The 21,867-nt window shown below is 48.1% G+C and overlaps 1 protein-coding gene across 5 annotated transcripts, besides 3 other annotated features; it reads left to right on the top strand.

Annotated features, from left to right (window-relative positions):
- Nucleotides 1,556-2,548: an enhancer, noted in NCBI's record as "H3K27ac hESC enhancer chr2:234763063-234764055 (GRCh37/hg19 assembly coordinates)". NCBI's record gives its function as "activates a minimal SCP1, AML or CMV promoter by ChIP-STARR-seq in primed H9 embryonic stem cells {active_cell/tissue: H9 hESC(primed)}" and the evidence as "EXISTENCE:reporter gene assay evidence [ECO:0000049][PMID:30033119]".
- Nucleotides 2,229-2,488: a silencer, noted in NCBI's record as "silent region_12472". NCBI's record gives its function as "represses an Ori minimal core promoter by ATAC-STARR-seq in GM12878 lymphoblastoid cells {active_cell/tissue: GM12878}" and the evidence as "EXISTENCE:reporter gene assay evidence [ECO:0000049][PMID:35858748]".
- Nucleotides 2,430-20,263, top strand: HJURP (Holliday junction recognition protein). Of its 5 annotated transcripts, NM_018410.5 has the most exons (9): nucleotides 2,430-2,581; nucleotides 3,055-3,121; nucleotides 4,345-4,400; nucleotides 7,106-7,202; nucleotides 9,504-9,568; nucleotides 11,145-11,237; nucleotides 12,682-12,760; nucleotides 14,760-16,356; nucleotides 19,313-20,263. In NM_018410.5, the coding sequence occupies exons 1-9, from the start codon at nucleotides 2,465-2,467 to the stop codon at nucleotides 19,386-19,388; spliced, it is 2,247 nt and encodes a 748-aa protein (NP_060880.3). In that variant the 5' UTR covers nucleotides 2,430-2,464; the 3' UTR covers nucleotides 19,389-20,263. The 5 variants fall into 5 exon arrangements, with proteins under 5 accessions (NP_060880.3, NP_001269891.1, NP_001269892.1 ...); NM_001282962.2 differs by lacking the exons at nucleotides 7,106-7,202; nucleotides 9,504-9,568; NM_001282963.2 differs by lacking the exons at nucleotides 7,106-7,202; nucleotides 9,504-9,568; nucleotides 11,145-11,237.
- Nucleotides 6,073-6,573: an enhancer, noted in NCBI's record as "H3K4me1 hESC enhancer chr2:234759038-234759538 (GRCh37/hg19 assembly coordinates)". NCBI's record gives its function as "activates a minimal SCP1, AML or CMV promoter by ChIP-STARR-seq in naive H9 embryonic stem cells {active_cell/tissue: H9 hESC(naive)}" and the evidence as "EXISTENCE:reporter gene assay evidence [ECO:0000049][PMID:30033119]".

Genomic DNA, 21,867 nt, shown 5'->3' with positions numbered 1-21,867 from the left:
TGCTACAGCATCACATGAGAAGCATGATACAGGGTTCTTCTTTCTTTAGCTGGAGCACCACTTTAGACCATGGGATGGGGAAAGCCAGTCAGAGACGACTGGAAGACCACCAGGCCAGAACAATAAGGGTTAATGCATGGACTTTGGCTGGCTCAGAAGGAGTTTGGCTAAAGCAAGTATGTTTTGGACTTCAATTAAAGACTTGAACTTGAGATTGAGAAATCTTTCCACTGAAGCTGCCCCCAAACTCCTAGGACAGAGGCAGATGCTTGGATTGTCAGTGAAGCCAGCAAAGGAAATCTTGGAATGGTTTCCCAGGAATAGAGAATAAGCCCTGGGAGACGCCAGTTTTGAAAACTGGTACTATCGTGCTTGTTAGAGAGTCATGGTGAGGCAGGAGAATAGGGAACTGGGGTAGCAAAGGGTTGAGGCATAAGCAAAGGAACAGCAGATGCAGCCAGTTCGCATAAGCAAGAGAACAGCAGGTGCAGCCAGTTTTAAGCAAGATTGGGCAGGACATAGGCTACATCTTCACTCCCGTGATAACAAGAAAGAAGTTTCCACTTCAGCCCCTGAATGACTGCAGGCCAAGTTTCCACTTTAGGCTCTGATTGGTCACAGGCCAATCCTTCATAGGGTGTAACCAATTGGAGGCCTCTAAAGGGTACCCAGGGGTGTTGCCAAGTTCTTTTGGCTTTATAAAAACCCTAATTGAAGAGGCTCTTGAGCTGCGGGCTCCAGTCCGCTCGCACTCTGTGAATTGTCTTCAATGAATCTGTGCTTTCCTTACTCCGTTCTCCTGTTGCTTTGTTTTTCGTTGCTTCATTCCTTTGTTACTTTGTGTGTTTTGTTCAATTCTTTGTTCAACACACCAAGAACCTGGACAACTCTATCTGGTAACAATGGAAGAGTCAATCATCCAAAACTCAAAAAGAAAAAAGAAAATCTTATTCAAGGTCTCAAGTCTCTAAATGGGCCCAGTTAGATGTTTGAAAAGTAAATTATGTGTGGGAAGCACAGAGTCCAAGGAAGAGCATGTTAAGTTTCTGAACACTCCTAAGGAAGGAGGAGGAAGACACCTCGGTCTGTTTGTGAAAATTGGAAAAGGTACAAGTTAAATGTGTAGATCCTGCAACTGGAGAAGACTCAGAGAGGATGTTTATATAGGGAGGAAGGGAAGGAAAGAAACAGGATTGGTAGGTTACCCCATCCAATTCCGTGGAATTGAGAGCTCGGAAGATAAAGTGGCCCAGGGTTTTCTTCCATCAGACTGAAATGATACAGCCTTCCTGTTCCCACCTGGATCAGTCACTGGTGCTGGGCCACCCTGGGGCAGCAGGACCTTGGGTGAGGGAGTTCTCTGCAACTGAATCATCCCAGAATAGGCTGACAACTGAAGGCCCCTGCCAACTGCCCTCCTAGCAGCTGTGGCATCTTAAGGGGAATCAGGCCAGCACATCTCTGTGTCCAGCACAACGCAACACGTTTTGTGGACACACACACTACATGAGCCCTGAAGTTCTTACCCTCCACCCACTCCCACCTAAATTTCCGCAGGACATCATGATAGAATTGCCGTGCAGGCTGAAAGGAGGTGAAGAGCCCCCTCTAAGGGACCTCCTGGTGCTCAGTAATGCTTTTATTTTCAATCACATACTATGGTAATCATATCAGCACAAGCACACAAATGTGGTTAAGTGATGAAGCTGAATGAAACTTTCCTAAGATGTCAATCATAAATTCCATCAACCATACTAAAGACTGATTTATCTTGCTCTTCTCTCTGGAGAAAATATTACAAGATTAATATCAATGAAGAAGCAGAATATGCAATCAGAAATACATAGGGAAAAAGCTGGGTTAATAGAAGTATTTTCCTGGATTTTGTGATGTGTATCGCATTTGTCAGCATCTTTAAATGTGTCATTCGTTGAGACTTATTTTTTCCTTCTAGATGAATATTCGCTATCCTGCCTCCTTTTGGGTTGGTAATTTGGGGTTGTCTTTCTTAGGCCCCTGCCCTGGAAACTGCGCCGGGATCCCAGGCGGAGGGGTGAGGAAGGCGGACCTCGCCCAGCGGCGACACCCAGAGCAAGTCACGCAGAAATCTCCAGGCCGCACTTATCTCCGGTGCACAGCGCGGGAGATGACACGCATCCCACCGGATCTCGCACAGCACCGCTGATGAATAAGCACACAGCTGTTTGTACAACTACCACCGGCCGTGGCGGCCGGAGACCCTCCCTCCCTTCCGCCGGACATTGGGGCGTGGCTGGAAACTCGGGAGTGGATTGGCCGGAAGGTGGGACGCAAATTTGTTTGAAAGGCCCAATCAGTGCCCGGCTTCTCCGCTCTAGCCAATAGAAAACCGAGAGGAAGGCAGGGAGGGCGGAGTCTCCTATTTGAGTTTGTGGCGCGCGAGGCCCTGCAGTCCGGGTTGGCGCTTGGGTACTGGCTGGGTCCGATGCTGGGTACGCTGCGCGCCATGGAGGGCGAGGACGTGGAAGACGACCAGCTGCTGCAGAAGCTCAGGGCCAGTCGCCGCCGCTTCCAGAGGCGCATGCAGCGGCTGATAGAGAAGGTGCGGCCCCCGCCGGTCCGCCGGGAGGGGAGGCCTGCGTGTCGGAGTGAGGCTGGGAGGGGACGTAGGACGGGAAGGGAAGGGGCTCTGAGGACTCGGAGCGGGGGTTGGGGAAGCGGGACTGGGGCTTGGATGCGGAGAGAAGGTGGAGGCGGAGCTGGGGGCTCCGGAGAGGGAAAAAGGAGGCAGCGCCGAAGGCTTCGGTGCGGGGACGGGGAGGAAAGACTGGGGCCTCCGGAACGGGGAGTGGGGAAGCAGGCCTGGGGCTCGGGTGCAGAGAGGAGGGTTTGGTGGGGCTGGGGGTGCTCCTGAGTGGGACGAGAGAGGCGGAGTTGGGGGCTCCGCTGCAGAGACCGCGTTTGGGGCGCCCCAGGCCAGACTAACGGCCTCTCACGGGCTGGCGCCGCCTCCTCCCGGGTCTGGGGCCCCTCGTGGCCCTGGAACCTGACAGGAAGCCCCTTCCTCCTCCGCAGTACAACCAGCCCTTCGAGGACACCCCGGTGGTGCAAATGGCCACGCTGACCTACGAGACGCCACAGGGTAAGGGTCTTCCCCACCTTCTGAGTATTCGGGTGAAGAGTGTGAATGGAGTAGTTGAAATGCTGTCCCTGCTCTCTTAAGAAGTAAACATTGTTCACCTAACTAATAGGAACCAAAACATTGGTGCCCTTAAACCTGTAAATTACTTGAATTACTTATTAGAACAATTCCTGAAGAGACATAGGTGCCTCCTGGCTCACATGCCTCCGGCTTACCGGGTTGGCATCCCCGCTGGCCACCTCCCCACCATGGCAGCGTGGGGCAGTTGCTTAGCTGGACTGGTCTCAGTGTCTTCATCTGTGAAATGGGAAGGATGATGACAATAATGTCTCCTGGGCGTGGGTGTTGTAACAGTCACGTACAATCCCTATGAAACTGTGAACAGTACCCCGCCCCGCACTGTGAATACTCACATTGACTATTGTTTGCCCTGTTTAACTTGGAGTAGTAACTGTCTTCCTTGAGGCTCCAAGTACTTGAATAGGGAGGAGAAGGCATTCCGTTTAATAGTTAATGTAAACGGACTGAAATCTTGTGGATTCTTTTTGGTAAATAGCTGGTGACACTTTGCACTGGCTGGGGTCAATTCCTCCCATATAGCTTTATAACTAACTCAGTATCACTTAATGAAAACAAACCTCAGAGCAAGTTCTATGTTGCATTAAACGGACACAGAAGGTTCACAAGATCTGCTCCTTGAGTTAAAAGAAATCCTACCTTTCTGCCTTTATAGCCAATCCAGACACATCTTGGGTGAAAAGTTTACACAGGCAGAAACTAAAATATTCCAGTGGCAGGTCTGCTACCCTTTGGTCTCTGTATAACATGTAGATTGCCCTTAGAAAGCATTCATTCAGTATATGGGATGTAGAGATTGCCTGCGAAAAGTGCTTACTCCCTCTATATGGTATATAGATTGCCCTCTATATATTTTAAGGACAGTCGCTGTCATATGTTCCTTGTTTTCATTTAACTTTTTGGGCTAATGATGTAATTTGATGAGCCGTTTTCTAGTAGGTAGGAGAGATTTCCATGAATGACGAATTTGCCTTAAAAACCTGAAACTTTACAAAGAGGAACAATCGCAGGGTATCAGAAACCTGGCTTGGTTTTAATATTGTACCTTTTTTTTGCCTGTCACTTTGGCATCTGGTGAACACAGATTGAGCAGAAGTTCAGCGTTCAGGATTATGTAAATGGTCATTTTTGTTTCTTTTCTTCAGGATTGAGAATTTGGGGTGGAAGACTAATAAAGGAAAGAAACGAAGGAGAGATCCAGGTATTTAGTGTCAAATTTTATTGCCAAATAACCTTGCTGTGGAGGAGTATTCATATGAATAAAGGTGTGGGTATGCCCAACCTCTGAGCTTACGCAGAGGCCACCACGGGGCACTTTTTCTCATGATTATACTCTTTCTGTTTTTAAGGATTTAGAAGCATTTCTTCTGTAGCTTGTCAAGTGCAAGGAGTCACTGTGTAATATTTGGCCTTTTTCATCACCCTGTGTTTCCTGTGTCACAGGCTGAGGGGCTCTGATAATACATGTGCAGAGGCTGGGCCAGTTGGGTAACCCTCCCCAAGGTCACGTGCCAGCCCAGCGAGGCACTCACTTTGTTTGGGTCCTTACAGAAAATACCAAATCCAGTTCCTTCTAGGGAAGAAGAATGTCTCTCTTCCTGTTTTGAAAGGGGAGGAAGAGAGATGAGGAGAGGTGCAGCCTGGAGGATCACACATCTTTCCTTCTGCATTTTTCTACCTTCGGAAGACCCTGGCTTCCCTGCCTAGTTGATCCGAGGGTGTTGTCGCTCTGAGACCCGTTATTTTAGTGGAAGGTGCTGTTGGCCTTTCTACGGGGGCATCCAGGAGCCCTTTTGCCACAGTGGCTTTTGCCAGGTTATCTGGTATTCAGTTAATCACTGCCTCTCAGATGCCACATGGTTCCTCTCTGTGGTCACAGGTCAAGGAACCTGTATGAAAGAATGAAAAACATCAAGATCAATGTGACGATATTAACAGCAAATTTGAAATCAAATCTTCTTGATTAATTATTCTAGTCATAAAAATGTTAAAAGTACATACAACTACATAAATGAGCTGATTCCTCTCTGCAAAGATGGTCACTAATGCTATTTTAGTACAATGTGATTCCCTATAATACATATCTTTATAAATGCATTTTTTTCTCCCTCACTTTTCCGGTTAATACATCTGGCAAACTCTTCTCTTCATCAACTGTTGTATAATTATAAAATTATATAATTATTTAAAAAATCATGTTTTTTTAACTGCTCTCCTGTTGATAGGCAATTAGCTATTTGTGGCTTCCTTTATTAATAAATAAGGGTCAGCACACTTTTTCCACAAAGGGCCGGATGATACATATTTTAGGCTTTGCTGGCTCTATGGTCTCTGTTGTAACTACTCAGCTCTGTGTTGCAGGAGGAAAGTGGCCGAAAATAATATGTAAATGAGTGTACGTGGCAGTGTTCCAATAAAACTTTATTTATAAAGCCTCTGTTAGAAATGGTTTTCAGAGAAAATCCCGGTCCTTGTCTCTTCCCAATACTGATAGTCCCCCTTTTCGATAAATGCTGAGAAGTGGGATTATCGGGTTAAAGTATATATACTCTTTGAATTATGCATAATACAGATGTCCACTCATTAGACCAGTGCTTAATATGGTCCTGGTAGCAAAAAGTTTTCATTTAAAGATTTATTTAAGGTTTTTGCTTAAAATGTAGGAGGAACCCTACCTGGGTCTCCAGAATCTTCAGACCCTTTCTTGGGATTAGGAAACTGGGCGTAGCCTGAGATTTCAGCGGGGACATCTCTGACTTCACTGTAATTGCTATTGGTGACAGTGTCCAGATCCGCCTTCACCTTTTCCCAGACGACTTGGTGCTCCTGCCGCCCTGGAGGCTGGGGGAGGCTGTGGGCCCTGGCAGGCCGGGTGTTGACCTGTGCTGGGTTGGTTATAACACAATGCCTGGGTTCTGTTTGTAGCTACCAGAGCTACCACATAGTTTGGGGTTGGTGTAGATCGTCTGCTTCTCTGTGATTCTCAAACCAGGTTCTGCCTCAGACACAGCCACAAAACAACCCTGTAAACTCCACCTTACGTGACGGTTTCACTGGAAGCAAAGGTTCTGATATTCTGGAAGTGGGCTTCAGTTACCCTGTAGTGCTCCTGGGTAGCCCCAAGTCCTCTGAACCCTCAGAGTTGACACCTGAGGACCATCCCTAACGGTATAGGCCTCGCCACCTTCTCACGCCCTGTTTTTATAAGGCTGGGTGGTTCCTAAAATATTAATATTTCAGCCAATCTGGTATCCTGAATGCTTGAATTTCATTACTGAGAACCCACCGATGCCATGCTCTGGGATTATTCGTGGGGCCTGCTATAGAGCAGGCTCTGGAGAGCTGAAGCAGGCCTGACCAGGAGTGTGGCCGCCCGACCACCTCTGCCCACCAGGTATGAGCTCCTGGTCAGGACAAGCAGCTGCCTCTGTGCGTTAGCTTGGGCTTAAACTGGCTCCTCCCCGCCTTAAATACTCCAGCATATTCTTTAAAGATCACAGGAAGTTGCCCAGGGGCCACTTGCCTATTTCTCTGTTCTCGCTGATGACCTCAGGACAATTTTGTTCTGTTTCAATTTGGCTTTTTGTTTGCCCCAGTCCCTGTCATCCCTGGGCCACTGTTAGGAGGTGTGAGCTTATCTGCTCGTGCCTGGGCCCCTGACTTTCCCTGCTCCTTCCAAGTGGCTTTTTAAGTAGCAGCCCCCGCTGCAACCCAGGGGAGCCTCAGCTCCTTCCTACGCTCTTGAGGCCTCTTATAAAGTGGACATGCAGGGAGAAGAGAAGCCTTGTGGCAGGCTCTTGCTGTCTCCTGTGTTAACAGAAGGATTGCAGTTTTATTATTTTGCGGTGACTTTGAAATGTGCTGTCACTCAAACAACCATGTTTTTATTGGCTTCTGCACTTGGAGGACTCCTCCATGAAGCCCGCGGACAGGACAGATGGCTCCGTGCAAGCTGCAGCCTGGGGTCCTGAGCTTCCCTCGCACCGCACAGTCCTGGGAGCCGGTGAGTGTTGCCTTCGTCAGAGAACTGAAGTCAGGAGGGACCAGGTCTGACGCACCTGTTACAACAGCTTAAAGCCTAGATTCCTCAGTAGTGAAGTTTTTATTTTTTCTAAGGTATATCTTAAAAACTAAAATCATGTTAAAGTACCCTGTTGATTCCTTCTGAGCTCTGCCTTGCCCACAGTTACATCCGGTGCCTGACATATGAATGGTACTCAGGTGTTTTTTGAGTAAATAAACATGCCCCTCCATGTGAAAAGTTAATATCCAGATTTAGTAAGACTTAAGATTTGCCCCTACAGGGTGGTGTTGTGAACCCTCACTTCTATAGGGCAGCTTCCCACTTCGTCCTCCTAGGAGGCTCCTTCCTTTTCCCCAGGCCAGTCTCACTGCCCACCCCCATCCTGTCCTCTTTTCTAGGGAATCTGTCCCTCACCCCTTCCTTCTGTCTTCAGTCTCTGTCCCCTGGATCCATCCGTCGGTATTTAGATGCGCTCAGACTCACGTTAGATACATCAGACCCTTCGTGGCTCTCCCCTGTCCTGGGCCCCTTCCTTGCCACATCCCTTTGCCCAGTTCCCTTTACCACCAGAGTGAAATAACCTGCTCCGTTTGGTGCCATGGATTCCCTACCCCACCAACCCCGTGTGTTCCTCCTCTCCCGACTCCTTTCGGCTCCATCTCTAAAGCCCAACTCTGGGTGAGGTTTCTCACAACCCCATTGCTAAATCCTGTTAGCATTCTTTGGGTTTTATTCTTTGGGTTTTGCGCTCTCCATTGCATTTAAACCTTCCAGAAGTTCTGGCCTGGGCCTCTGTGGCCCCCTGCTCCTCGGCCCCATGCTCCTCCAGTTTTCCTCCTTCTGTCTTCGTCCTTCCAAGCCTGCAGTCTGCTCGCCTCCCGTCCCTGCTGGATGCCCTTTCTAGAGGGTTTGTTTGAGCTGCCTTTGCCCTTCCCCCAGGTGGAGCCATGGCTTCTCTGTGTGCTGACTGTAACCTCCAGCCAGAACTCAACTGGGGGCGTTTTACTGCCCAGCAGCCCCTCTGCTTCAATACTTCATGTCCAGACTTGGCACAGCTAAGACTCAGCCCGACAGACAGGCTCCCCATCTTCTGCTCTGCGCCTCAGTACAGGCCCCTGCCGTCTTCCCTCTAGCGTTAGCCAGAAACCCAGGATCTTCATCTCAGCCTCTGCCTCATTCCTCATGGCCAAGGCATCCCTGTCCTGTGCCTTGTGCTTCGTTAGCTCTCATGTCCCCGCTGAGCACCAGCCTCCAACCCCACCCGGGCTCCCTCCGCCCCACTGACGCCCCTGTGAATGTGGTCAAGCCGCTTCTCTGATGCAACACGTGGCTTCCCATTGCTTTTGGGGTAAAAGGCCAGAACCCAGAATGGGGCCTGAAGTCCTGCCTGACCGCATGGCCTCCTTGCTGCCCCCGGGAAGCCCCTGTGATCCCCAGGCTGGAACAGACCCCCACTCTTATCTGAGCTCTTTAGACCTGGGTTCCTCTGCTTGCGAAACAGTTTTGTCACTAGCCTTTAAACACCTGTCTCTCCTGGACACTGGCCTTCCGCAGCCTCTGTCCCCCTCTGCCCAGTCCCTTTCCTGGCACCTTGCCTACACCAATAGTTAGTGATGGGTGTTGAGTCGCTAAAGGGAAGCTGGTGGTCTTTCAGAGTAGAATTGGAAAGCTCTTCATGAGGATATTTACCTGTGGTGCTATGTGTTTACTGCTATTAATCCAGATTTTAACTATAAATCCTTAGGTCCATGAATTTCCCCAACCGCTTGAAATCACAGGAAATAGTTATTTGATAGATGTACTGCCCAGTATGGCACCCACCAGCCCTCTCTGGATGATATTTAAATTAGTTGAAAGTGAAATAAAATTTAAAATCCATTTCCTCAGCCTTACTGGCCACATCCCAGCTGTTCAGTAGCCCGGTGTGGCTAGTGGCTGGCCTAGGACAGCAGGCAGAGAACTTTCCATGGTCACCGGAAGTTCTGTCGAGCAGTGCTGGGCTTGAGCGTCTCAACTTCCAGGCTCAGAGGCCATGGAAAGCTGGAGGTGGTGCAGAATCTGCCTTTCCTCACTCCATGGCCCCAGGCAGTTTCCCATTCTAGGGGTTCTCTGGGTTACTAAGAACCACGGGCAGCCGTAGATGGCTCCAGTGGGTGCACCCTTGAAGCAATGGGGATTTTTACTGTACAACTTACTCGAAGTGATGCCAAAACCATCCTTGAGAGGAAAATGCACTCCTTCCTGAAAATCCTGATTGAGATTTACTTGTTTGACTTTTAGATTCAAAAAGCGGTGAGGTCGATGCCACGTCAGACCAGGAAGAGTCAGTTGCTTGGGCCTTAGCAGTAAGTGCTGCCTTTAGTAATGAATGGACAGAGGGGGCGCTTGGGGGCTCAGGGGTCCATCAAAGCCCATGTGGCCTGAGGCGGGCAGCGCTGCCTGCACTTTTCTGGAAGTCCTCTCCTGAGGCTGGCTTTTGCTACTTCCAAGTCTCGGATTTCCTCGTGTCGATTCCCTTCAGCGGTAAGGCCCTCCTCTCAGTCTAGCACCTGGCAGCCAGTTCTACCCCCAGTGCAAGCCTGATTCACGATGATTTTCACTCTGCAGATAAAGCTGTCAGTGTGGTTGGCAGGGCGCCATCTGCCTGGATGAGCACACGACAGGAAAGCTGGGCTCTCGGTCAGTCTCCCCTACAGGGGCAGGGTAAAAAGAGAGGTGTTCTAGGGAGTATTTCCAGGTCTGTCCTCAAATGCCCCAAGTCACAAGGTCGCCTCATTGGGCAGCCGTCACTAACCCAAACAGTAAGTGTCATCTATATGTCTGTTTCCCAGAGTGCCCCCTGGGTCACAGAAACCACCCGTTTTCTTATGGGATGTGCTTCTTATCCTCCTTGGTTGGGATAGATGCGAATTTACACAGAGCTTAACCAGCTCCAGCATCTTTCCTGGCCCCCGTGTCACACTCTGTTGCCTGCCAGAATACCTGATGCATGGTTTTCCTCTAAAATTGCTACTTTTGTGCAGAGGGTTTCCCACGCACCCATGTGTGACTTTCAGTGACTAAGAAAAAGGCCGTGGTCCTGGGGAAGAAAGTGGATGCTCACTGAGAGATTGTGTAGGGATTGGAACAAAGGGGAAGTGGGTGGTACCAAGAGTCAAGAACCAAAGTGCCAGCCCCACTCAGCAGAGGATAGAGGGTGACGCCCTCTATTTCCAGTGTCTAGCAGGGGAGGGGTAGGAGAGCCTCCTGAGCTGGAGCACTGAATTTCTGTTTTTGTTTTTGGTTCTTTTGAGATGGAGTTTCACTCTGTCACCCAGGCTGGAGTGCGGTGGGGCAATCTCAGCTCACTGCAACCTCTACTTCCTGGGTTCAAGCGATTCTCCTGCCTCAGCCTCCCAAGTAGCTGGGACTACAGGCGCCCACCACCATGCCCAGCTAATTTTTGTATTGTAGTAGAGATGGACTTTCACCATGTTGGCCAGGCTGGTCTCGAACTCCTGGCCTCAAGTGATCCACCTGCCTCAGCCTCCTAAAGTGCTGGGATTACAGGCATGACCCATCACACCCAGCCAGGAGCACTGAATTTCTTATAAACTTACCAGTTTGAAGTTATTACCAGTAGTTGAGTCCTGAACTCACCTATGAATATTCAGATTTTTTTTTTCCTGGTCTAGCAATGCTGTCATAAACTTCTCTAGACATGGTTTTTTTGTGTGTGTGTGTCTTTTTACATTCTTTTGGATTATTAACATAGCAGGAAGTGAAAAAGTGACTTTGAATAACATCATGGAGGTGAAAGTGACTTTGAGTAGGATCATGTAAAGATTTGTACATTAATGAGCTTGCCAGTTTGTTCCAGAAGCCAAAAGGTCAGCTATACTCAGAAGCTCTTAAAAATTCTGACTTCTCTTTTTTGATCAGCCTGCAGTGCCTCAAAGCCCTTTGAAAAATGAATTAAGAAGGAAATACTTGACCCAAGTGGATATACTGCTACAAGGTGCAGAGTATTTTGAGGTAATCTGTTTCCCAGTTGTTTGTTTTTATATAATTAGATCATAAACTAAATACATTGAGGTACAGTGTTATTATGCTTTTTGTTTTTTCTACAGAACCCATAAAGAGCATTTGAAGTAATGATTTCCAAATTGTTTTATTCACATGCTGACATACTTGCTCTTCTTGAATAAACACTCCAGGTCCCCCAGGGCAGCGCCATCAGGAAGGTGGGAGCCCTGGCAGGGGTGCTCTGCCCACTGTTCTGGGGCAACTCACAGAAAAATCTAGTGGGGCAGCCAGGCACAGTGGCTCATGTCTGTAATCCCAGCACTTTGAGAGGCCAAGGCAGGTGGGTCACTTGAGGTCAGGAGTTTGAGACCAGCCTGGCCAACATGGTGAAATCTCATCTCTACTAAAAATAGAAAAATTAGCTGGGTGTGGTGGTGCGTGCTTGTAATCCCAGCTACTTGGGAGGCTAAGGCAGGATAATCGCTTGAACCCAGGAGGCGGAGGTTGCAGTGAGCTGAGATTGTGCCACTGTGCTCCAGCCAGGGTGATAGAGCAAGACTCTATCTCAAAAAAAAAAAAATCTATTGGGGCCACACACGGGACTCTTAAGAGCAGCCCTGACCTCTGGACCAGGATTTGAAGCTGCATAGTTAGGGAAGCAATAGTCCCCACATTCCCTGGTGCGATCAGGCTAGAATCAGCTGCAAGGTGAGGAGGCTGACCCTTGGCACCTGTCCCGCCTGCTGAGAGGTCATGTTGGGAGGGGGGGGATGTGATGGCATGAGAGGTGGGCACACTCACCTGCCAACCCCTCTCTTAAGGTCAGTGCCCTCTGCCATAGAATAAAGGACATTGCAACACCAAATACTTAGGAAGTACACATTGCAGAATAAGAATTCATCTCCAGAAAAAGGCAGCAATCTCACAGGGGTGTATGTGTTTTCTTACTGTGCTGCTGACCAGCGGAAAGCCTGTATTTGTGGACCACCGACTTAGTGGATGTACCTGAAATGCTTTTTCCTTTAACCCAAGGCAGCAAGTGGTGTCCTCTTGGTTGCTGTGTTGATCCAGGGAACAGATTAGGGTTAGGAACGAACGGATCTACTGGGTCTTCTTTGTCCACCGTCCGGTTGGCCCCTAGGTGTTCTTGTGGTCTGAGTATAATGCTAGACAAAGAAAGCTACCAGCGCCCCTGGGGTAAGAAGTTACTGGCAGGTGAGTGGTGACTGTGGCTGGAAGCTATCCTGGAGACCACATCAACTGTCCAGATCTTAGTAGGACATATTTTCTTCCCACTGCCCGAAGCCTAGCTGGCCACTGTCACCACATTCACACGCTTGTCGACATGGCTGTGCTAAGATGCACAGTCCGCATCGTCAGGGGAGAACCCAGCTCCTTGCACCCAGTTGACACCTGGCAACTTTTTTCTTGTAACCACTGGCTCTGATTTCAGTGTGCAGGTAACAGAGCTGGAAGGGATGTACGTGTGACTCCGCTGCCTTCACTGGCCTCACCTGCCGTGCCTGCCCCCGGTGAGTGTGACATAGAAACTGTATGAACAGTGCGTGTTTCCTTCACTTTTGTTGGAGCTGCGTGGCCCCTCAGAGCTGCTCATACTGGCCACGCCATCATTTCCTGGTGTGTTTCATCAACATAACTTGTTAGAGATATACTTGGATTTCACTGGAAGATTAAGATGTTTCAAAATGAGCTGTTTTCTCCTCCACGTCTGCTCTTTATTCCAGTTTACTAGCTTGAAAAGTTTTGCATCTCCAGAAGCACAGGACTAGTACAGTGAACACCCTTCACTTGTTTCACAATTAACATGTTGTCATATCTGCGTTATCACCCCCTGCCACACACGTGCACACACAGTGTGTATTTATTTGCATTTGTGTATGCATTTATCCCTAAATGCCTCACACATACCTCCAAAAATCGGCTAATTCTCCTTTATGACTACAGTACGCTTAACACAGGCCAGAAATTGAACATTGATGCGGTACTGTTCTACCCATTGTGCCAGTGACGTCCTTTGCAGCCTTTCTGGTTTGCCTGATCGTTTCCGGACCCACTCAGGCTGGTACCACCGTTGCGTTTAGTCTCCCTCCATCAAGAGCGGCTCCTTGGCATTTTCTCCCTCATGGTCACCTTTCATATTATTGCCTTTCTTGAATAGCACAGGCCAGTAATTTTGCAGAATGTCCCTGAATTTGGACCTGATTGCTTCCTCGTGGTTAGGTTCACGTTAAACATTTTTGGCAAAATTACTACAGGGATGACGTGTCCTCTCAGAACATTTGGTCAGTCTGTCCCATTCTTGGTGACTTTTAGGCTGGTCATTGAGTTAAGGTAAGACCTTACTTCGATGTTTCTCATTGCGACAGGCCCTTTTTCCCTGGAGTCATCTATGTGTGATTCTTTGAGATCTCCTAGGAACCTTTTCTCTAAAAGCTTCTCACCCAGTGACTTAGAAGCCAGCAATGCGGATCGCCTGGGTGGAGGTCCCCGCCCAGGTTGTTTCTGTCTCTGCCGTTCCTTGGCACACGTCAGTTGGCATTATTCTGCTCAAAAGAGCTATCTCCCCTCTGGTTCTTTTTTTTGCTTCCTGTAGTTCCCTCTCATGCTTTGATTTATTTTATTTTTATTTTTTAGGATCAGTAGGAATTCATGGAGTCTTTTTGTTCTTTGATTCACATGTTATAATCCATTGCCGGTATGCAATTTGACGCTCAAGTAACCCCAGATTTAGCTGTCAGGGAGCCCCTTTCAGGCTGGCTTTTGTGTCGTGTAGTGCAACGACATGCGTTTTTGAGCACTTCTTCACCCCTGCCCTGATGCCATATCTGCCTCTCCCAGTTCTCACCAGCCGCAGTGAGTTAACACGTGCTCATCTGGTCAATTGTACAGCATAAAATAACTCTAGCATTGCAGCACCTGCTACCACTCTTCACAACCATCTACTAAATAAGCTTGAAAATTTCCAAGCAGCTCTTTTTATCCTTAGACAATATCTCTTTAAGAGGCAGACACTCAGAGTATTTGGACTCTTTTTTTTTCTCTTTATCAATTTAACATACAGATTTTTTTTTTGTTTGTGTTCAATTTTATGGTTTTTTCCCATCACTGTTGGTTTTTTTTTTTTAAATATAGGAAACATTTACATGATGCAAAAGTCAAAGCTATATGAAGAGGTTTGTTTAGAAGTCTTACACCCCTTCCCATCCATGTAGGTAAACAGTGTTGTCATTTTTCAGTTTCTAATTAGCTTTTGAAAAGGCATCCATCTTCTAAACAGCCTAGAGGGAAAGGAAGACACCTTTGGGAAATGTACGATGGAGAGTAGAAATCAAATTTTGATACCAAAAAATATCTCTGAGAAGAGTCTACTCCTACACATTTGTGGTGTTTTTGTTTTTGCTATTGCTTAAAAAAACATAGTCCTGATCCAATCTTAAGTTCTGTCATCTGTGCACATGGATGGTTTAGAATGGTAACACACCTTTACTTTATGTGTATCTTTTCTCCCAGGATACTGCAGTCGTATCTCCAGAAAGAGTCCTGGTGACCCAGCGAAACCAGCTTCATCTCCCAGAGAATGGGATCCTTTGCATCCTTCCTCCACAGACATGGCCTTAGTACCTAGAAATGACAGCCTCTCCCTACAAGAGACCAGTAGCAGCAGCTTCTTAAGCAGCCAGCCCTTTGAAGATGATGACATTTGCAATGTGACCATCAGTGACCTGTACGCAGGGATGCTGCACTCCATGAGCCGGCTGTTGAGCACAAAGCCATCAAGCATCATCTCCACCAAAACGTTCATCATGCAAAACTGGAACTCCAGGAGGAGGCACAGATATAAGAGCAGGATGAACAAAACATATTGCAAAGGAGCCAGACGTTCTCAGAGGAGCTCCAAGGAGAACTTCATACCCTGCTCTGAGCCTGTGAAAGGGACAGGGGCATTAAGAGATTGCAAGAACGTATTAGATGTTTCTTGCCGTAAGACAGGTTTAAAATTGGAAAAAGCTTTTCTTGAAGTCAACAGACCCCAAATCCATAAGTTAGATCCAAGTTGGAAGGAGCGCAAAGTGACACCCTCGAAGTATTCTTCCTTGATTTACTTCGACTCCAGTGCAACATATAATCTTGATGAGGAAAATAGATTTAGGACATTAAAATGGTTAATTTCTCCTGTAAAAATAGTTTCCAGACCAACAATACGACAGGGCCATGGAGAGAACCGTCAGAGGGAGATTGAAATCCGATTTGATCAGCTTCATCGGGAATATTGCCTGAGTCCCAGGAACCAGCCTCGCCGGATGTGCCTCCCGGACTCCTGGGCCATGAACATGTACAGAGGGGGTCCTGCGAGTCCTGGTGGCCTTCAGGGCTTAGAAACCCGCAGGCTGAGTTTACCTTCCAGCAAAGCAAAAGCAAAAAGTTTAAGTGAGGCTTTTGAAAACCTAGGCAAAAGATCTCTGGAAGCAGGTAGGTGCCTGCCCAAGAGCGATTCATCTTCATCACTTCCAAAGACCAACCCCACACACAGCGCAACTCGCCCGCAGCAGACATCTGACCTTCACGTTCAGGGAAATAGTTCTGGAATATTTAGAAAGTCAGTGTCACCCAGCAAAACTCTTTCAGTCCCAGATAAAGAAGTGCCAGGCCACGGAAGGAATCGTTACGATGAAATTAAAGAAGAATTTGACAAGCTTCATCAAAAGTATTGCCTCAAATCTCCTGGGCAGATGACAGTGCCTTTATGTATTGGAGTGTCTACAGATAAAGCAAGTATGGAAGTTCGATATCAAACAGAAGGCTTCTTAGGAAAATTAAATCCAGACCCTCACTTCCAGGGTTTCCAGAAGTTGCCATCATCACCCCTGGGGTGCAGAAAAAGTCTACTGGGCTCAACTGCAATTGAGGCTCCTTCATCTACATGTGTTGCTCGTGCCATCACGAGGGATGGCACGAGGGACCATCAGTTCCCTGCAAAAAGACCCAGGCTATCAGAACCCCAGGGCTCCGGACGCCAGGGCAATTCCCTGGGTGCCTCAGATGGGGTGGACAACACCGTCAGACCGGGAGACCAGGGCAGCTCTTCACAGCCCAACTCAGAAGAGAGGTAGGTGTGTTTCTGTTGGTTGAATGTGGTTTATGTGAGTGACTGCTCTTTGGACAGAGGCTTTTTATGGTAGGAATCTTTGCGCCACGTTTAGTGAATCTCAGCCGAATTCTTACATACGTGATCATTTTCTGAGCTTTCTCCCAAATGCTTTTCCTTCCTGTAAAGTCAGCGTCTCTATCAAGAATGTGTCCCTGTGTAAGATGCATCGAGGTAAAGCAGAAAGTGCTCTTGCAGAAGTTTCACACTTTCCATTAGAATGCATTCAGAGGCTTTTTTCCTGCAAATCCTCACTTACTACGCTTTATTCGTCTTTGTCAAACCTTCATTTCTAACCTCTTCATCTGACACTCAGAAAATAGCTGTTGTAAGGCGAAAGTGATCTAAAGCGAATGACTTCCTATTTCTGGATTCCTGGTAGGGAAAGAGCAAGAGTGGCCTGGGAGAGCCACGAGCACAGTATTCTCACAGGTGCGAGGGGTGCCCTGCAGATATCTCAGTGCTCAGTGTTAAAACTTCTGCACCTTGTTCTGCAGCTTAATTTGTGCGAATCATGTCAGCTAGAGTTTTAGTCTGCGTGTGCCCTTTTCTCTAGAGACAGTGGGGTGGGGTGGGTCAGTGGGAGTGAGTACCTTTGTTGGCATTAAAGGTTGGATTCCCCAGCACAGCTTCTCTGTGTGTCCACAGTCAGGATCTGGAGGATGCGACTTTCTTAACCCACAGGTGGACGGGACTTGACTGTGGGTTTGATTTGGCCGGTTCCTTTGGGTTTTGTGTGTTTGTGGTTCCAGCAGGTGAGGCCGTGTCTCCAGTATCCTCTTCCCTTGTGCCCTAGCCTGGCGATGTGCCTCTTCTCTGAGGTCATTTGGGTGGACCCTGCCTGCCATAAGTGTCCCATTTTCTGTTTCTCCCACCTGGACCCGCCTGGCCTGCGAGCCCTTCTCAGCCACTGGCTCCTGCCGTGCGTCCAGCTCAGAACCAAGGTCTGGTATGCCTTGTTCCTTCTGTGGTGCCTGCCTTCGAAGCCTGCAGTCCCGCCTGTGCATGGCAGAGACCACACTCTCAGACCGCCAGCGGCCTCCTGTGGCTTGAGCCCCCTGGGGCCTTTCTCACTGTCACTCTGTCTTCCCAATGCCCTTGGACTGCTCAGGGCCACCTGCTCCAGGGTCTGCCGTAGGACAGCCCTTCCCTTCCAGGGAACTTTCACTGGCATTCTCCCCCTACTCCCCAGTTCTTTGCTATTGCATCCTCGGACATCCTCCCTAGACTCCACCCACCGCTCAGCTGCCTGCTCCGTGCAGGTAACCCCCACCCTCCCAGGGGCTGCACATGGTGGGTGCTGCAGTGGGGAGCTGTCTGGACACAGACCAGTCTCATGGGTTAGCGGCTCAGGCTCCTTGGCTCAGTTCTAGAAGCTCCCAGGTTTTGTTGGATGTTTTGGTTTTCAAAGTTATTTTCGTGTATAAAGTCATACTGTGTGAGCTAACCAGAAGCAGATGAAACAAGCCTTGGTTGTCATCTGTCTTCCCAGTTGAGGATGGACATACGTAAGTGTTCAGGTGATGGGAAAGGTTTTTCTCTGCAGGGCCCCAGCTAGGGTCAGGGGCACTGTGTGGGCAGGGCCCTCGGAGCTCCTCCCCTGGCAGTGCACGGCTAACAGCAGTCTTTCCCTCGGGTCTTGGTCTCCAACTGTGTGCCTGATGCCCACTCCTGTGCCCACTTGGGGCTTTTTCAGACCAAACCACCAGCCGGGTGACTTTCAGCCACAGTTAGTGAAGCCTTCAAGAATCTCAGCTACATCTTCATGGCAGACACTTCATGGAGGCTGCTTTGAGGCAAAGTTTATGCGTTCTGTTTAACAGATGACCTCTCAAGAGTCTCCTTCTCAGTTGAAAGGGGAGAATTTCACCAAAAACAACTGTCCGGCCCAGAGAGAGATCTGAGGTTTCTCCTGGTCTCCCACACATCAGAGCTCCTCTGCTCTGCTCGTCCTGCTTGTCTAAACCTAACTGCTTTTTCTCAGATAGTGCCCCAGCTCTTCCTTTTACCATCATCCTGCCCCTGGGATTTTGTCTCGTGCCTTTTCCCACCTTGTTCCATGATCTGGCACCGTGCCAGTCGCCTGCAGACCCCTTTCCATGAGTGACATCTGCCCCAGTGCTCCGTGCAGAGGCTCCTGCCTTGCTTTTTCACCTGCTCAGTCTAAAGGGCTTTCTTCTGGCCCAGCCACACAGGAGGGACCTCGGCCTTGTAGAGAATGGTGTGAGGTTGCATTATTGTGGGACCATCCTGAGGACTCAGCCCTTGGTGGCCCCGCAGGGCCCTCCCAGCTACCCTGGAATTTGATAGCAAGTCAAATCATGAACACCCCAGGTTTCATTTTAAACCACAATATAAACATGTTTAACTGGTTTCCTATGTTTTTCTGCTTTTCCCGCTTAAATGATAGATTTCTTGAGGAAAGAGACCAATTCTTCATGAGCTGCAACTACATATGGAGTTTTCATGCCTAACGTCTGAGTGCTCTCTGTGTGCCAGGCCATGCTGAACCGTTTTTACGTCTTATCTTCTTTCATCCCCACCAGAACCCCTTGATTAGATCGATTCTGTCCAATAGGCAGGCTGTCTCTCCTTTTAATAGATATGGAAAAGTAGCTTAAGTCTTAGAACTCCTAAATTCACTCGTGCAGCAGCGCTAGCTGGGCCAGGGTGTGGGATGTGGACTTCCCCACCAGCTTGTGCTCCCTGGGGGAGTGTGGGGAGCAGGGTCGGGGGGTTGCCATTATATTTTTGTTGTTTCTTTAACATAACTTACTTATTTAACGTAATGCCACTTTCTATAAGTATTTTTATACATGCAATGGAATAAGTAGAAAACAGTTAACCTTTTAGTGGCTGGCATTGGGAATTCTAGAATTTTGCTAACATCATTTTCTTTGTCTTTTTTTTTTCCTAGAGGAGAGAACACGTCTTACAGGATGGAAGAGAAAAGTGATTTCATGCTAGAAAAATTGGAAACTAAAAGTGTGTAGCTAGGTTATTTCGGAGTGTTATTTATCTTCCCACTTGCTCTCTGTTTGTATTTTTGTTTTGTTTTTGATTCTTGAGACTGTGAGGACTTGGTTGACTTCTCTGCCCTTAAAGTAAATATTAGTGAAATTGGTTCCATCAGAGATAACCTCGAGTTCTTGGTGTAGAAATTATGTGAATAAAGTTGCTCAATTAGAATTTTTAGGGTTCTCTTTGATAGGCCTGTTTTTCTGATGTGTGTGTTTTTTTTGGGGGGGGGTTATTTGTTTGTTTGTTTGTTTGTTTGTTTGTTTTTGAGACAGTCTCTCTCTATCGCCCAGGCTGGAGTGCGGTGGCACAATCTTGGCTCACTGCAACTTCCGCCTCCCGGGTTCAAGCGATTCTTCTGCCTCAGCCTCCCGAGTAGCTGGGATTACAGGCGCGCGCCACCACGCCTGGCTAATTTTTGTAGTTTTAGTAGAGACGGGGTTTCACCATATTGACCAGGCTGGTCTCGAGCTCCTGGCCTCGTGATCCATCTGCCTCGGCCTCCCAAAGTGCTGGGATTATAGGCGTGAGCCACTGCTCCCAGCCGTGTGTTCTTTTTTAAATTTAGATATGTCCAGAGAATCCTCTCTCCTGTTTCCCATTTCATTCGAGAATATTGTTTGCTTGTGAGACGTAAGTTCGAGCCCTGCATGCAATGACCCTTGAAGGAAAATAAACAGTCCTGGTGGTCCCAGACGCTCCTGCAGCCACAGCGCCTGTGACTCCTCATGATTCTTACTGAAGCTGTTGATGACAGGATATCATGGTGACGTTTTTGTAATGAAATATTTCACATATTCAGAATACATTGGTGAAACTCATGCTGGAGTAAATAGTTAATATATGGCCATATGAGTTTGGGTTTTTTTTTTTTATGAAAGATTTAAAATGAGATTAAATTACACATTTTTCATTCCCGCCTGCCGCCCCAGGCGATTGCTCTCCTGATGTCAGGTATCACCCCCATACCCTGCCCCATATCTCTTCCCCCCTGCGTCTTACATTGGGACCATGTTATGTGTGTGTGTGCGTGCGCACCTGCATGCTCAGGCTGCCATAACAATGCTGGAGACCAGGTGGCTTAAACAGTAGAAGTTTATTTTCTCACAGTTTTTGAAGACTAGAAGTTTAAGACAAGGGAGCCAGCATGGTTGGGCTCCGGTGAGGACTCTTCCTGGCTTGCAGAAAGCTGTCTTCTTGCTGTGTCCCCACATGCTGGAGAGAGCAAGGTCTCTGGTATCTTAGGAGGGCACTAATCCCATCATAAGGGCCCCTCACTCATGACCTCATCTAAACCTAATCACCTCCAGAAAGCCCCATCTCCAATACCATCATGCCAGGGGCTAGGACTTAATCATAATTCAATCCATAGCCTGTGAGTCAGTAAGGAGGGTGCACGCTGCTGAGAGCCGAGAACCTCGCCAGGTGCTGCAGACCTCACAGACGGCTCATTTCCTCAAAGAACAGGCCGGCAGTGTAATGCTGGCTCAGGCTCAGCCAGGGCCAGAATGGCCCCTACAGATCTAGAGCCTTCCCTCAGGCCTGCTGCTTCCTAAAGGACAACGCGACCCACCCTTTCCTCTTCAGGAAAACCATCACTGCAACCCAGAACTGCTTGTGCCTCTCCTTCCCCCACACCCAGCAGACAGCTGAAACCTTGCTGCCCGGGCCAGGCCTGGCTGCCAGAAAGGCCGGTGTTCTGTCATCCAGTGGAGGAAGGTGAGGTGGAAGGATCTGGGCATGGGTCTTGCCAACTTACAGATCTGCCAATAAGGGCCCCATAAACTATATATGGTATAGTCTCTCTGTTTCAAACTATATGAGTAAATTAATACTGTACATATGCTACAGTTTTGTTTCATCAAGAGACTGAATATGACAAGAGCTGATAGATGTGGGCATCTCACTTTGAGTTCTCTAGGTGGTTTATTGTCCTGGATGTCTGCGGACGGGTGCAAAATCCACCCGTGATCCTTGTGCATAACTGTCAACTATCTGTGGCACACACACACCTAGAGGCAAATTACAGGTCACGGATGGGTGTGCCTTGAACTTCCATAGTTATTGCCAAATTGCTCTCCCAAATGGCTGCCCCAGTTTGCCCAATGTCCCACAATATAAGAGGTACCTTTTCCCCACATTATCGCTGCCAGTTGCTGCCAGTCTGAGCTCTGGCAGGTGTAAGATGTGTTGCTTCACAGTTTGCTTTCTCTTGATGACTTGTTGAGCATGTCTTCCTGGGAGTCCTGGTTTTTTAAATGTCCTCAGGACACTGGTTTTATATTTGCCTCTTCCTGATTTGGATGTATTCTGGATCCAATGATATGAAACAATCCAGTTTTTAACTTCTATCATCTATCATTTGTCATTTAACTTTGTGTTATTTTATTGTATGGAAGTTACATTTTAACACAATGCTATGGTTCGGATGCCATTTGTCTTGAAATTTAATTG

Source organism: Homo sapiens, chromosome 2 (assembly GCF_000001405.40).
Source record: "Homo sapiens chromosome 2, GRCh38.p14 Primary Assembly".
Classification (NCBI taxonomy): Eukaryota; Metazoa; Chordata; class Mammalia; order Primates; family Hominidae; genus Homo; species Homo sapiens.
The sequence above is the reverse complement of the archived record's forward strand: the minus strand, read 5'-3'. Positions and strand labels throughout refer to the sequence as shown.

Excerpts from the sequence above, each read along its gene's own strand:
- HJURP (NM_018410.5), top strand. The coding sequence starts at position 2,465 with ATGCTGGGTACGCTGCGCGCCATGGAGGGCGAGGACGTGGAAGACGAC. Across the intron at positions 7,203-9,503 it reads CCGCACAGTCCTGGGAGCCG|ATTCAAAAAGCGGTGAGGTC; the intron begins GTGAGTGTTGCC and ends TTTGACTTTTAG. Across the intron at positions 9,569-11,144 it reads CAGTTGCTTGGGCCTTAGCA|CCTGCAGTGCCTCAAAGCCC; the intron begins GTAAGTGCTGCC and ends TTTTTTGATCAG.